At 36.5% G+C, this 17,019-nt stretch overlaps 1 long non-coding RNA gene across 7 annotated transcripts in view; it reads left to right on the forward strand.

Annotated features, from left to right (window-relative positions):
* LOC105373456 (uncharacterized) overlaps positions 1–17,019 on the forward strand; it is a 529,181-nt gene that overhangs the window by 369,642 nt on the left and 142,520 nt on the right. For 5 of the 7 annotated variants that reach the window (XR_007086229.1, XR_007086231.1, XR_007086227.1 and 2 more), the window contains one exon: positions 14,032–14,126. The exons of 1 other annotated variant lie outside the window; for it this stretch is intronic. This is a non-coding gene — a long non-coding RNA (uncharacterized LOC105373456). Of the gene's footprint in view, positions 1–14,031; positions 15,641–17,019 lie in introns of those variants that run through there. One more of the 7 variants, XR_001739304.3, reaches the window with a different exon arrangement.

Raw genomic sequence — 17,019 nt, forward strand, 5'->3', positions numbered from 1 at the left:
TTTATTATGAAAGCACTGATGAGACTAAGTAGATACTAATGTGATCATTTATTAGTTCATTGATTCTAGATCATTAATTTATATCCTTACTCATTTAGTTTTTGGTAAACACTATTTCAGAACCTGTGCTAGGTTTTGAAGATGAATGTAAGCAGTGAAGATGAATGTAAGAATACCAGTAAATGTTTCACAATTGTTTTTTGGGAGGTGAGAGGTGAGGCTGATTGGTAGTATTTGCCAATTTCTGTACTATAAATTTCACTATGGTTGATTTTGAACTACTAATATGCCGTCAATGAAGTTAGAGGTAGGATAGATGCATACAATTGGCCCTTGCAAGTGGTATATCTTGCCCCAGTACACCACTGGACAACAAGGTTTAGAAAAGAGCTCCTGTGTTTGAGTTGCACATGGTGTTAAGCCAAGAACAGAATTGTAAATAAGTATTTACAATATATAATTAGATAAATGCTGTAATAAATGCGGAAGGGACCACATTTATCCAGAGAGCTGTGGAAGTACAATTTTTCTATAACAGCTATCAGATAGGCTTCACAGAGTAGGTGATGTCTGAATTGAACCTTAAAGAATAAGTATTAATTCTTCAGTCAGTCAATGTGAGGCAAAGACTTCTCAGACTGCGGAAAGGCATGGGCAAGGACACAAAAGTGCATGAGCATGGTATGTCAAGAGAGCTGTGAGCATGATATATCAAGAGAACTGTGAGTAGTTTGTTAAGACATAAGGTGAGTGTGTCCTGAAAAAGTCTCAGGAAAAGAGACGTAAGATCATAAAGAAATTTTAAATTGTGTAAAGGAGTCTAGACTTGTTTTACTATAAGGGAACATAAAAAGCTCAGTTTTTTTTTAAAATCACTTTACTTGTAGTAATTAGACAGTCAGAAGGATACCACAGGAACCCAACTGAGAACAAGAAAGGCTAGGAATAAGGAGGAAAGAAGGATGTGACAATCAAAGTGTAGAATCAACTGGATAGACTGAGCTAATAGAGACTTGAATGTAGTCCTCTACCTTCTCCATTCCCCACTGATTTTTTATCTCCCTCACTGTACTGCACTCCACATACAGTGGCAGTTTCTGGGGTGACTCTGGCCAGCAAGTCAACCCTTCCTGTCCCCAGTTTCCCCCAGGTTGTGGATTGTGGAGGCAGTCTTCCCTTTCGGCAGGCTCTATCTCTGTTACTGAGTGCTGCAAAATTGGTTTACTCCCTCCTTTGAAAGGCCATGCAGGCCCAGGGCCACACTGCGGAGAACATGTGGTTGCTATTTCATTTATGCTTTATCATTTTTCATTCTGACATTAAAGCTCCTCTGCAGCAGGGTGAGAGCGCTGTGCATTGTAAGGAGTAATGTGAACCGAGGGCTCCTGCTTCATGCCAGAGGAAACGTGATTCAGAAACAATTTGAGGGCAACTGCAAGGTGATGTGGCCCAGAGAACCAGAAGCTATTGAAACTTTAAACATCATTTCTGGACAGTATAATATGTTCTGCGGGGCAGCTTGGAAAAACAGGAAAACCCTCCTTGGCCAATCCTTGGAGAATTAGAAATCTTTAAATATCATATGGAGCAAATATATCTTAAAGAGCCCCTAGCCCTTATAGTCAAACACCCAAATGTTGAGCTGGAGGCATCTTCATCCCATGGCCCCAAGAGAAAGCTGGGGCCATGGAAGGGGATGGGCCTCACCTCAAGTCTTCCATACCCGCATGGCCAACGTGGGTCTTCTGACTTTTCCTACCCTATAGCAGACTTTCTCTTCAATAATTAGTTTGTGCCAATCTGTCCTTCTAACCTAGAACCATTGAAAGATCCTTTGTAAACAGAAAGACAGCTGTCTTATTTATCCTTGCACAGTGAATTCATTTTGTGTTTGCATGCATCTCTCCCACTGGTGATATATTAGTTGATGGTGCCTAAGCATAGTGACTGTAAGAGAGCTAATGCTCAATAAATATTGCTGGAAGAGTCAAAGAAAAGGGACAAAAAGAACAGCAGAGGAGGAAAAGAGTATGAGAAAACCACGAGGGAATGAAGATTCTTAGCTTGGGATTATTACATAAGGAAAAGAAGAGCTATTATGTATTCTGTAAACAGATGTAGTTAGAGATAAACATAACAGCAATTTGTATTTATTGAATGGTACTTTTAAAATCTCAAATTCTGTCATCAGTTTATCAGTGAAAAATTACATTTTAGCTGTGCACCATTAATAATTCATATCAAATACCAAAGGTATTGAAAATTCAGTGTTCAAATACCCATGACTGTAACCAAATGTAATTGCTACTGTTTTGTGGGACTCAGAAGACCGCTCCCTTCTTTTCTCTGCTTTTCAATCATAATAACCAATCCCTCTGACCTCGGTGAGTAGGTGGGAATACAACGTGACTCACTGTGATAGGTGAAATGAATTTTTATAAAGAATGCCTCATCTCCGATTTCTTAAAAATAACAGTTTCAGATTTACATAGAATGTGTACCGATAGCACAGCAAGTTCCCACAGAGCCATTCCCATTTTTCCCAATTATTAACATTTTACATTAGTATGGTACATTGATTAAAATCAATGAACAACATTGACACATTATTATTAGCTAATGTCCATACTAAATTCAGATGTTCTTAGCTTTTGCGTAATGTGAAATCCCATCCAGGATGTCACATTCCATTCTGTGGTCCAGACTCCTTAGGCTCCTCTTGGCTGTGACAGTTCTCTCTCATTCCAACAGAAGTAAATAAAAAACATGTTTGCTGTGCTTAAAAGTAGCAAATAAGCTTTCCTGCCCAACATGGACCTGTGCTTATAAACACATTTTTCACAAGTATAAAGTTGTAAGTGTTTACCCCATTACAGGCAAGCATATGGTTCTTTCACTCAAAAGAGATAAATACGTGCTGAACCTCAAAATGATAAATGTATTTTAGAAAATACCAAAAGTTATGAATGTGCTGCTAAGGAGTAGTAAACAATGCATGTAGGCAATGCTGTACCAGTTAATGTACCTTTGATTGTGGCAAATCAGAAGATGAGGTTTGCAACTGCCAATCAGCGGAATGTAACGCACCCCAAGAGCTCCCAGGATCCTAATTAGTATGTATGCCCAGTCTCTGCCAGGGTGAAGAGAGCAGTAACCCCCTGCATTGCTCCGGAGCTGCTTGTGGCTTTGCATACACTGAATGTGATGGGAAACACTGGCGGAGCACAGAAGGAGGCCAAAGCAATGAGAGTCCAGCCAATTCCTGAGCAAATGGCATATGGCTTCCTCCCTCATTGTTTCTTTCTTGCTCACAGTTGCTGCCTAGCTTGTTAAAGGAAATACTTAAGTGAAAGCTGTTTAAGCTAACTGGAGTTTTTATGCAGTTTCTTTTAGTGTTGTCTACTCTTCAGTATCCTGTACTTAAGTTCTGGTTTTACCATTAAAGGGTAGCTCCTCAGAATGAAACACTCATTCTGAGCCCATTGGAGTATTTCTTAGGGACTTTTTCTACCAAGTAACCAGAGCTAGCAAGGAAGGCCCTTGTCATGCATTGCCTTCAATCTGTGAAGATATAAGCCTAGAAACACCAGAATGGACAAAGGAGATTTCGAATAGAAGTGAATGGAGTTGATACACAGAGAGAAATAGACAAGAGAAGAGGAAATAAATAGTACTGGTATCAGCATCCAATATTTAGCATACCTGGATCCCATTGCTCCTGAGGTCAGCCCAGGCATTGCTCTTTCTGAAATTATGTCCCATTCCCCAGTGTTGTTGCTTCTTTAAAACTTTCTGTTAGGTCTCTTTTACTTGACTGATATGTTTAGTAAAAATACAAAGTACTTAAGCATTTGGTTTTACATTATTCTTTCTAATAACACTCAGAGTCTTTTTTTTTTCCTTCTAGTGCTTACCACAACTTATAATGGTGTATTAATTAAATAGCATTTTCCCATTAGACAGTGTATAACATGAAAGAGGGGACCATGCCTGTGTGGCTCACCACTAAATACAAAACACTTGGCATGATGCTTAGAACAGAGTAGGCATTTAGTAAATGCTGATGGATGAGTAAATGAGTGAATGCATGAACTATACTAATACCTCAGTCAGTATCAAAAGCGATAATGGACTTTCAAGAATCTCTATAAAAAACTAAATCAAAGAAGGATGTTTAAGTTGTTCTCAATACCCAAGAATTTAGGTGGCTGGTGATTATGAAAAAGTAATTCAATTCCAATATTTCCCTTATTTCATTTGGTCATTGTGTCAGATACTCTGTAGGGTTCTTAAGTTGTTGATATCTCCATTGTATTTTATGCCTTGTTTTTGAAAATCAAATCTCTTTGACTTGAATCTGGCCATTGTAGCCAATTAACATGAAGATGCCTATGTTAAATTAAATAAGCAGGAATTAAATAATTGGCCTGGGGATATTTCCCTACTTTAAATTCTTAGGTAAGAAACTGCGACCAGCCTGGCCAACATGGTAAAACCCATCTCTACTAAAAATACAAAAATTAGTCAGGCATGGGGTGGGCACCTGTAATTGCAGCTACTCGGGAGATTGAGGCAGGAGAATCGCTTAAACCTGGGAGGCAGAGGTTGCAGTGAGCAACCAACTCACTGAGATCACGCCACTGCACTCCAGCCTGGGCAACAGGGTGAAACTCCGTCTCAAAAAAGGAAAAAGAAGGCCAGGCTCGGTGGCTCATGCCTGTAATTCCAGCACTTTGGGGCCGAGGTGGGCAGATCACAAGGTCAGGAATTCGAGAACAGCCTGACTAACACAGTGAAACTCTGTCTCTACTAAAAATACAAAAATTAGCCAGGCGTGGTGGCGTGTGCATGTAATCCCAGCTACTCAGGAGGCTGAGGCAGGACAATCGCTTGAACCTGGGAGGCGGAGGTGGCAGTGAGCCGAGATCGTACCACTGCACTCTAGCCTGGGCGATAGAGTGAGACTCCATCTCAAAAAAAAAAAAACAAAAAAAAACCCTGCAACCTTTTTATATGTAAAAAAATTGAAAGCCAACTAAAAGTCTATGTTTTGTAACAGCCAGGTCTCAGCCACTCATAAGGGTGTCAGCCAATCACATGAGGCCAGCTCATCAGATCATGTCCAAATGAGGCAATGCCTAGCTGTAAATAATCAAGCTATTTCTGCATTTTACCTCCATTGTTGTGTGTAAACATTCATTGCCCACATTGCAGAGTAGAGCTCCCTGAACATCTGGTTCTGGGTGCTGCCCAATTCATGAATCATTCTTTGCTCAAACTCTGTTCAATTTGTCTAAAGTTAACACCTGCAATTTGGATATAAGGTGTGAATGGTAGGATTCTTTTTATCTCACAGGGTACTTGGGTAGCCAAATGAAAAATCAGATTGTTCCCAGAATAGTGCTTTATATAAATGCATTATACAAGTGTGAGCGAATATGACTTTTATGGGAAAACCACCACTACCTCTAAGAGCTAAACCAGTAAAATTAAATCAGAGTGGATGAGATATTTCTGCAGAAGTCCTTTTAGGGGACTAGGAGACAGAGTATCTTCTGAACCATAGCAGTAGGTATAGAAATCTAATTGAAGGATGTAGTCTAGGCATAGAAAGAAAAACTAGACATAAACGTTGCACCAGCCTAAGAAATTTTGTGTATTTGTTTGAAGTAAACAAAATACTAAAAACTGGGTGGCTGAAACAACAGAAATTTATTTTATCACAGTTCTGGTAGCTAGAAGTCTAAGATCAAGGTATCAGCAGTGTTGATTCCTTCCAAGAGCTGTGAAAGAGAATATGTTCCATGACTCTTTCCTGGCTTCTGGTGATTTTCTGGCAATTTTTGACATCCTTTGCTTATAGATGCATCACTTCAATCCCTGCCTTCATCTTCAAATGCCATATTAAATTAGGGCTCATCCTAATGACCACATCTTAATGTGATCATCAGCAAAAATCCTATTTCTCAGAGGGTGACCTCAGTAGGTCAGTAGGGTACTGGGTCTAGGACTTCAGTATAGGGATTTGGGGGACACGATTTCACCAATAAAATATGCACCCACAGAAGAAAGATGCTTCACTTCAGATTTTTAAAGGAAAACAAAAAATTGTCATACTTATGACTCCCTCGTGGTCCAGGGGAAAGGGTGCTCAAATGTACTGGAACTTAGCATTGATAGGTCTGTTTCTATAGTAAAGACTCATCTTTTTCTGCGCTCAGCTCTGGCTACATTCTTTCAAAGCAAAATTCTAAAAATGATTTTGCTGTTTCCAACCTGGGAGAGTATGTGCTTACCTGATAGCATAAGCATTCTTACACATTCAGAAATTTTAATTCTCAATGTAAATCAATGAGTCACTGTCTACCATATATGTTGATATATATGAAATTTATTTAAGGTAAATCCATCCCTCTGAGTTTAGTACCTCTAGGTGCTCTTGTTGAATCCATTTTCTGCACATGTCACATGCTACATGCAACCCTGATGAAATCTTGTCCTAATTAACACTAATTATAATGTGGTGCAACTTTTTATGCTATTTAAATAATAGCATTTATTTAATAACTAGCCATGAGAATAATTCAGTCCCAACAATTGCTGACTGTTGACAGTGTAAGGATAATCATGACCTCCATTCATTCATTTGCTGACAGGCCTTCAGAAGCTTGAGGACATGAATGGCAAGTGTGTATCAAGCATGGGCCAATTTGTTTAAGTTGGACGTTGCCTTGAGGGAAGGGCAGGAACAGTGTTTTCTCAGCAAAGTTTTTCACTTGCCTTACTGAGATGACGAAAGATACGTAGAAAACAGGAACCAGGAGGCTTTGTGGAAGCTAAGTTGATGAGATCACTGAACTAACCCTCGGTGTTACTTAGAATGGTCATCACTTTTCTTTAACACTGCTAAAGATTCTCCCCAGTGAAATTAGGCAAGAAAATAAAAAAGCATCCAGATTGAAAAAGAAGTAAATCTGTCTAGTCCCAGGTGACATGATGGTCTATGTAGAGGACTTGATGAAATATTTATGCTATTTAAATAATATTTACTAATGTTTGATTATTATTGTTCATATTATCATTCCTAGCTCTCTCTTTCTGTCTCTCTCTCTCTCTCTATAAGAGAGAGAGAGATCTAGGAATGATTATATATATATATATATATATATATAGAGAGAGAGAGAGAGAGAGAGAGAGAGAGAGAGAGAGAGAGAGGCATATATATATAGGCATATTTATATATATATAGACATATTTCATGTCTGTATATGCAGAGACTATACAAATACTCAGTACATAATAGAGGCTGGGATTCTTTTTTCTAATAATAAATGTGCTATAAAACATGATTCATTAAGTTGCTGTTAACATAACTTTTATTAAAGCTGAAAAAAAACTCTAAATGTGCTACCTTTCTTATTTCTGATGCTTTTAAGTTATCTCCCGTCACTGACTTGGCTTTTAGTTTCCTTGATATAAATTCCTTCTCAGATTTTCAAAAAGCTCCCAAGACCTTATGTAGCCTGTTACCAGTTTAGGTAGGTGCCCTGAGAAGGAGCCTAGAGGAAGTTACCACATTTTATGTTCCCGTAGCACTCTGACCTTCCCCTTTATGAAGACTCATCACACTTCTGAATTATTTTAACAGACTCATTGAGGTGTAATTGACATAAATAAGCTAGACATGAATAGTATAATTTTATACATTATAACCTAGACATAAATAGTATAATCTGATACATTTTAACATGTGTGTATACTTATCGCCACTATTAAGACAACAAGAATATTCGAATATTCATCACCGACAAACATTTCACTGTACTCCTTTGTAATCCTTCTCTCCTTCCCCTCCCCACTCCTGCTCATGTCCCCAGGTAAACCCCAATATGCTTTCTGATATTGTTAGCTTGCATTTTTCCAGAATGTTATATATATGAAATAATACAGTATGTACTCTTTTTGGCCGGCCTATCTTTTTGCATTCCGTACAATTATTTTGAGGTTTATCCATGTTGTTGAGTGTATCAATAGTTCATTCCTTTTATGTGAGTAGTATTTCAAGGTATGGATATGCCACATTTGTTATCCATTTATTTGTTGATGGATATTTGAGTTGTTGCCTACTTTTGATTATTATAAAGTTTCTGTGAACATTTGTGTTGAAGTATTTCTATAGATATGTAATTTTATTTCTCTTCAGTAAATACATAAGACTATAATAACTTAATCATATAGCAGCTGCATCTTTAACTAAGAAGCTGCCAGACTATTTTGCAACATGGCTATTCTGTGTAACATTACCACCAGCATTGAATGAGAGTTCCTCCATATACTTTTCAACACCTGAGATGATCAGTCTTTTTCCTATTAGCCATTCTAGTAGGTATCTGATTTTCATTTTAATTTGCCTTTCTTTAATGATTCATAATATTGAACATCTTTTCATGGGCTTATTTTTATTTGTACATCTTCATCAATAAAATATCTGTTCAGATTTTGTATTGAGTTGCTTGTTTCCTTATAATTGAATTTTGAAACTTTTTTATAAACTTGAAATCAAGTTCTTTATCAGATATATGTTCTTTATCAAATATTTTCTCCAAGTTTGTGGTTTTCCTTATCTTTAAACAGTGTCTCAAAAAGAGAGGTTTTTAATTTTGATGACACCCAGGTTATCAAATGTTTGAAATAACTTAAATAATAACCCAAGTTATCAATGTTTGAAATAACTTAAATGTACTCAAAACCACAAAAGTTTTCTCCAGTGTTTTAATCTGAAAGTTATGATTTTAATTTATAAATTAAGGTATAAAATCAATTTTGAGTTAATTTTTGTGCATGGCTAAATGTATGAATTGAAACTTTTTTGTTTAGTTTTCTGATTGGTTAAAAAAATATATTCTTTTCCCACTGAATTGCCTTTGAACCTTTGTGGAAAAATAAGTTACACATATATGTGTGGACCTATTTCTGAATCTCCTTTTTTTTTTATAATTGAGACAGAGTCTTGCTCTGTCACCAGGCTGGAGTGCAGTGGCGAGATCTCGGCTCACTGCAACCTCCGCCTCCCAAGTTCAAACGGTTCTCCTGCCTCAGCCTCCTGAGTAGCTGGTATTACAGGCAGGCGCCACCACGCCCAGCTGATTTTGTTGTTGTTGTTGTTGTTGTTTAGTAGAGATGGGGTTTCACCATTTTGATCAGGATGGTCTCAATCTCCTGACCTCGAGATCTGCCTGCCTTGGCCGCCCAAAGTGTTGGGATTACAGGCGTGAGCCACCACGCCCGGTCCCTTTTATTCTATTATTCCATTTGTCTGTATTTAGATAAATATTACACTGTCTCAATTGCTGTAGCTTTATAATAAGGTTTGGAATCAGATAATGTAAATCCTCCAACTTTTTTATCTTTGAAAAAGTTGTTTTGGCTCTTCTACATAGGTCCTTTGTATTTCTATTTGAATTGTAGAATCAGCCTGTCCAATTATATTAAAACAAACAAACAAAAACGATATGTTTAATTGAAATTGCATTGAATCTACAGGTCATTTTGGGAAAAATTAGCATTTTAACAATATTCAGTTTTCAAATTATGAACACAGTGTATCTCTGCGTTTATTAGGATCTTTTAAAATTTCTCTCAGCAATATTTGGAAGTTTTCAGCATATAGATTTTGGATGTTATTTGTCAGATTTATCCCTTAGTATTTCATATTTTGGTGATATGGTTAAATTTTTACTTCAATTTTTAATTGTTCAGTGCCCGTATGTAGAAATACAATTAGTTTTTGTGTATTGATCTTGTACCCTGCAAGTTTACTAACTCACTCATTCTAATAGCTCATTTTAGTATATTTCATCGAATCCTCTACATAGACCATCATGTCACCTGGGACTAGACAGATTTACTTCTTTTTCAATCTGGATGCTTTTTTATTTTCTTGCCTAATTTCACTGGGGAGAATCTTTAGCAGTGTTAAAGAAAAGTGATGACCATTCTAAGTAACACCGAGGGTTAGTTCAGTGATCTCATCAACTTAGCTTCCACAAAGCCTCCTGGTTCCTGTTTTCTACGTATCTTTCGTCATCTCAGTAAGGCAAGTGAAAAACTTTGCTGAGAAAACACTGTCCCTGTCCTTCCCTCAAGGCAACGTCCAACTTAAACAAATTGGCCCATGCTTGATACACACTTGCCATTCATGTCCTCAAGCTTCCGAAGGCCTGTCAGCAAATGAATGAATGGAGGTCATGTTTATACTTACACTGTCAACAGTCAGCAATTGTTGGGACTGAATTATTCTCATGGCTAGTTATTAAATCATTAAGTCTTAAAAGTTTATTCATCCTAACAGTGCTCAGGACAATCTAGTTTTGTTTTTCTAAATGATGAATAAAATGTTTTCAAATTTGAGGGTCTGAATGAACCTAACAAATTATCACCCTTCTAAAAGGAACTTATAACAGAGCCATGATTTATAACTTTGAAGATGTCAAACTTCTTTGCTAACAATAAATACTTACTGACTTCACATTAGCTGCCATGTCCATCAACGAGGAAACAGAAAGGTGAAGTGAAACTCACTATATCTCACGGTAAGGGGTATATGAGCTAAATTGCTTTCAGCTGCAAGTTTCAGAAAACCCCACCTCTAATTACCTTAAATAATAAGGAAATGTACTATTTTTCATGAAAAGAAATACAGAATAATAACAGTGAGTACCATTATCCCACTCATTATGGAGCTTTTCTCAACTGGATCTCCAGAGAATTTAGCCCTAATGCCTTAAGGCATCTATTGCATGCAATTAATTAACTTCTATGCATCTGTAGTGGTAGTATTTACTATCACTCTTGAGAGAATTAAGAAAAGATTCACATCTTTGTTCTGTGATTCCAAAGCAGAACCTCAATTGAAGAAGGCTGAATAGTTTGGCTTTCTCCCCCTTTCGCCCTCAAAATGACTTCCTTTATGGTTATAAGACACGCCAGAGCATCCTGGCATCACATTCAAAAAAGACAGCTTTCAGGGATGAGGGAGGGAGGGGAGGAGGCCTTTTTCATTTAACTATTTATTAGAAGTGAGGGAACAAGAAGCCCCATCACACTTTCCCCTACAACTTATTATGTTGGCCCAATGAAAGAAGTAACTGCAGATGTGGTAGAAACAGCAAGAAAACTCACATTAGAAATGGAGCCTGAAGATGTGACTGAATTGCAAGAATCTCTTGATAAAACTTTAACAGATGGGGAGTAGCTTCTTATGGATGATCAGAGAAAGTGGTTTCTTGAGATGGAATCTACTCCTGGTGAAGATGCTGTGAACGTTGTTGAAATGACAACAAAGAATTAAGAACATTACAGAAACCTGCTAGATAAAGTAGTAGCAGAATGTGCGAGGAGTGACTTCTGTTTTGAAAAAAATTCTACTGTGGTTACAATGCTATCAGACAGCATCACATGCTGCAGAGAATTTTTTGTGAAAGGAAGAGTCAATCAATGTGGCAAACCTCAATCTATGGTACTATCACCTTACAAAATATATTTTTTAAATAGTAAGACTTCAGAGTCAAAATTACCCCTTGATCCATGAGTTGCAGAATGGACGTTGTGTTAGCAGGCATGAGAACAGCATTAGTCTCCTTGTGCATCTCCATCAGAGCTCTTGAGTAACCAGGTGTATTGTCAGTGAGCAGTGATATTTTGAAATAGTTTTTTTTTCTGAGTATTAATCTCAACAATGGGCTTAATGTATTCAGCAAATCATGCTGTAGACAGATGTGCTGTCATCCAGGCTTTGTTGTTCCATTTATAGAGCACAGGCAGAGTAGATTTAGCATAATTATTAAAGGCCCTAGAACTTTTGGAATAATAAATGAACATTGGCTTCAATTTAAAGTCACCAGCTACATTAGCTCCAAACAAGAGAATCAACCTATTCTTTGAAGCTTCTAAACCAAGCATTGACTTCTCCTCTCTAGCTGTGAAAATTCCAATATAAGGATGTTTCATCCACATTGAAAAATCTATTATTTAGCCACCTTCATCAATAATCTTAGCTAGATTTTCTGGATAACTTGCTATGGCCTCTATATCAGCATTTGTTGCTTCACCTTATACTTTATTTTGTGAGAATGGCTTCTTTCCTTAAACCTCATGAACCAACCTCTGCTGGCTTCCAAGTTTTCTTCTGCAGCTCCCTCACCTCTCTCAGTCTTCATGGAATTGAAGAGAGTTAGAACCTTGCTCTGGATTAGGCTTTGGGCTTTGGTTTAAAAGAATGTTGTGGCTGGTTTGATCTTCTATCTAGACCACTTAAACATTTTTTTTTTTTTTTACCATATTAGCAGTAAGGCTGTTTTGCTTTCTTATAGTCATTTGTTCACTGAAGTAGCACATTTAATTTCCTATGGGAACATTTCCTTTGAATTTACAATTTGGCTGTTTGTCATAAGAGGCCTAACATTTGAGCTATTTTGGCTTTTGATGTGCCTTCCTCACTAGGCTTATTTGTTTATAGTTTTTGATTTAAAGTGAGAGATGTGCAAGTCTTCCTTTCACTTGAACACTCAGAAGCCATTTTAAGATTACTGAATTGCTTAATTTCAATACGTTTGTGTTTCATGAAATAGGAAGGCCCACAGAGAGGGAAAGAGATGGGGGAACAGCCTGTTGATGGAGCACCCATAACATATACAACATTTATCAATTAAGTTTGCAGACTTATGTGAGCATAGATCATTTTTCCCCAAAACAATTATAACAGTAACATTGAACATCACTGATCACAGAGCACCATAACAGATATAGTAATAATGAAAAGCTTGAAATATTGTGAAAATTACCAAAATGTGGCACAGGACATGAAGTGAGAACATGCTGTTTGAAAAATGATGCAGACAGACTTGAGGCAGGGTTGCCACAAGCTTTCAATTAGTAAAAATGTAATTTCTGTAAAGTGGAACAAAGTGGAACACAGTAAAAGTAGGTATTGAAAGGTTTAAGCGTAACTTAAAAACATCCCAGAATCTATAACTTAAATACATCTAGAAAGGTTGTCAGTAGTGACTCAATCGAATATACTTTATGAAGCCATAGAAATGTATCACTAGTGATTCATATTTGCTCATTTTTACCCGGGTGCTTTATATTTGTTTTCTATATGTTTTCATCTCTTCACTTATTTATTTGACAATACCTCAATCAGAACTTAGGTACTAGACAACACTCTAGTTTAAGAACAAGGAGACTCATTGGTGGATATTACCCAGCTTAGAAGAATCCTTTGAATGTTTGAAGAAACAGACTCTGACTTGAGCAGACCCAGGGCAACTCAGAGACTCTTTTATTATCAGGGAAACACTGAATTGAGAAATTGCTACTACTGCTGCCACCTCCAGAAGTGGCAAAATGGATGACCTAAATTCTGTTAATTCTTAGGAAGGCAGCTACTCATCACTAGGACATCTGCTGATGCTGCTGCAGAAAACTGTCATTACCACCATTACCATCACCACCGTAATCATCACCATCGTAATCATCACCATCTTCATCATCATCCTTGCAGTTTGAATGCTTGGAAGTCCATAGATTTTACATGAGTAAATCTAAATGATCAAAGCTAAATGACATCTGAAAGCTTACCTGCCAAGGAATTTGTGAATGTCATTTTAGGTTTCAACCCTTACAGTAACAATAAGGCCAAGTAGAAGGAAGTTAGCTGTTGGTGTTGATTCCAATTAATCATCTTCCATGGTTTATAACACAAAGGAGGTTGTAGCAATTGGAGATGTCAGTAAATGAAAAAACAAAGCAATTATCCCAAATATGCCTCCAAAACAAATGAAGTATATTCATTTCCCATGTTTCTACATATTTTTAATAATGTTTTCTTTTAAAATATTTGATATTTTTAAGTAAAAATATTTCCCATAGTAAAATGTTATAAAATATAGCGATATATTATTTAAAGGTGATAGTCCACTAAAATCACATATCCCTAATAATCACAGATAAATTTTGGTGTTTTTTCAGATATTTCCAATGCAGACTATGGAGAGATAGAGAAGAGATAAGAAAGAGAAAGAGGTGAGTCGTGAGTGCAGTTGTAAAATATAAATACTTTTAAAAAGCAGAAAAGAAATCATACAGGCCAGGCGTTGTGGCTCACACCTGTAATCCCAGCACTTTGGGAGGCCAAGGCAGGTGGATCATCTGAGGTCAGGAGTTTGAGACCACCCTGGCCAACATGATGAAATCCCGTCTCTACTAAAAATACAAAAATTAGCTGGGCATGGTGGTGGGAGCCTGTAATCTCAGCTACTAGGGAAGGGGAGGCAGGGGAAGCGCTTGAACCCAGGAGGTGGAGGTTGCAGTGAGCCGAGATCATGCCGTGGCACTCTAACCTGGGTGACAAGAGTGAAAATCCGTCTCAAGAAAAAAAAAAGAAATAAAATTATACAAAATGTATTATTAGGAACCTTTTATTTCTAAATTAACAATACATTTTGGGCATTTTTTATGTGAGTATATGCGTAAGATCTACCTTATTTTCCTCATTTTTAATGGGACATAATAGTCTATTGCATGATGGTATCATAAAAGATTTATTTGTTATTATTAGACAATTGATTATTCCTCGTTTTATTAGTATGAAAATGTAAATAATTTACAATGAACATCATGTTGCATAGAATAAAAAATCATGGATATTTGTTTGGTTTATATCTCCAATTTCCACTCAAAAAGATAATGTGTATTATGTTCCTACTAGCAGTAAATAGAAGGGTATTTTCCTGATATCCTTATCAACATCAAATGTTGGCAAAATTGATTATCTTTGTCAGTCTCTATGTCAAACATGCTATTATTTCATTGTTACTTTAATTTATATCTATTTTACTAGTAAGGAGGTTGACTTTTTTCTATGTATCTATTGGTTGGTTGTATTTCTTACACAGTGCTTTCCTTTTTATATTCTTTGTCCATATTTTTCCTAGGTCAATTATTTGCCATTTGATTTTTAAGAGTTGTTTATATTTTGTATTTATCAGCTCAATGTTTGATCATCTATGATGCACGTATGTTTTTTTCTGTTTGCAACTTGCCTTTTCACTTCATTATGTTTCTAATGATTTAAGTTACCAATTTAATCAATTTTGCATTTTATGTCATGCTTAGAGTCATCTTCACCACTCTAAACTTTTATCCATGTATATTTTATAATACCTATTGTTTCATTTTATTTGATCCATTTGAATGTATTGTGATGTGAGGAATGAAGTGGGGGTTTCCTTTTTTTGTTCCCTAATTGGCTGCTAGTTTTCTCCATGTCATTTCTACTCTTTATCCTCCCCCAATAATTTGTTTATCATTTATAAAATGCTTTCTGGATTCTTGAGTCTTATTTGGACTTTCTTATCTTGCATTGTTTTGACTACCTTAATGTGTAGACATTAAGGCACAGTCTCATTCCTTTATTAGTCAACTTTATCTATTGTAAATTGAAGTGTGATCTACCCCTACATTTTTTTCTTTCTTTAATTCAATATCTCCTAATATATCCTATTCTAGAATCAGATTTAAAATAAGGTTATGTAGATTTATCTCCTTAAGACTAGTTTGAACGTTAACATTCTAGTTTAGTTTTTGTTTTTTTTTCTGTCAATACTTAGTGACATTTCTCTTAAGAATGTGAAATTTCTTGCTCTCTTTATATATAATATAATATATAAAATATATAAAATATATATTATATAAAATATATATAATATATAATGTATATATATTTTTTTCTTTTGAGATGAAGTCTTGCTCTGTCACCCAGGCTGGAGTGCAATGGAGCAATCTCGACTCACTGCAAGGTCCGCCTCCTGGGTTCAAGCGATTTTCCTGCCTCAGCCTCCTGAGTAGCTGGGATTAACGCCTGGTTAATTTTTGTATTTTTAATAAAGATGTGGTTTCACTATGTTGGTCAGGCTGGTCTCAAACTCCTGACCTCGTGATCTGCCCACCTGGGCCTCCCAAAGTGCTGGGATTACAGGCGTGAGACCCCGTGCCTGGCCAGTATATATCTTTTCATAATACTTGTCATCTTCCCTAGTACCCTTCCTGCATTATAGAAATAAATTACAGAGATATAGTGTGGGGTGATGAAAGAAATAGACCATGTTTGCTTTTCAGTTCTTAATTTTCTTGCCTTTATAGAAACATGGCAAGAGTAAAAATAACTAATAAACTAAAGATTTTTCTCTGTATCAAGAACATAATTTTTTAACTTTTTAAAATTTTCTTTTTCATTTATTTTTCTTTTTTTATTTTTGTTTTATTTTATTTTAAGTTCCAGGGAACATGTGCAGGATGTGCAGTTTTGTTACATAGGTAAACGTGTACCATGGTGGTTTGCTGAACCTATCAACCCATCACTGAGGTATTAAGCCCCACATGCATTAGCTATTTATCCCGATGCTCTCCCTCCCCCGACCCCATGACAGGACCCAGTGTGTGCTGTTCCTTTCCCTGTGCCCATGTGTTCTCACTAAAAACATAAAATTTTAATAGAATCTCTTTTCATTTAGAAGGTGACAATTCTATAGTTTCTTAATGATAAAAAATATTTTTAACTTCTAAAGCTAATTAAAATTGCTTATAATTTGATTATATATTATATACTATTTAAAAACATAGCACCTTATTTCATGGCTGAGGTTATCTCTAGAAATACAAATATCTTTTTGCCTGTCTTTTGAAAACACAGAATAATACAGTCATGTTTACAAATAATCTTTTTAGAGCGTGCAATAAAAGAGTTCTACCCTGGCTAAGAAGAAATTACTGACTGCTGACTGTGAGCAAATTTTGTTTTAGAGATGTCACTATTATTAAAGAATTAGGTTGGGCCAGGCGTGGTGGCTCACGCCTGTAATCCCAGCACTTTGGGAGGCCGAGGCGGGAGGATCATGAGGTCAGGAGATCGAGACCATCCTGGCTAACACGGTGAAACCTCGTCTCTACTAAAAATAC

This window comes from Homo sapiens, chromosome 2 (assembly GCF_000001405.40).
Source record: "Homo sapiens chromosome 2, GRCh38.p14 Primary Assembly".
In the NCBI taxonomy this organism is placed as follows: domain Eukaryota; kingdom Metazoa; phylum Chordata; class Mammalia; order Primates; family Hominidae; genus Homo; species Homo sapiens.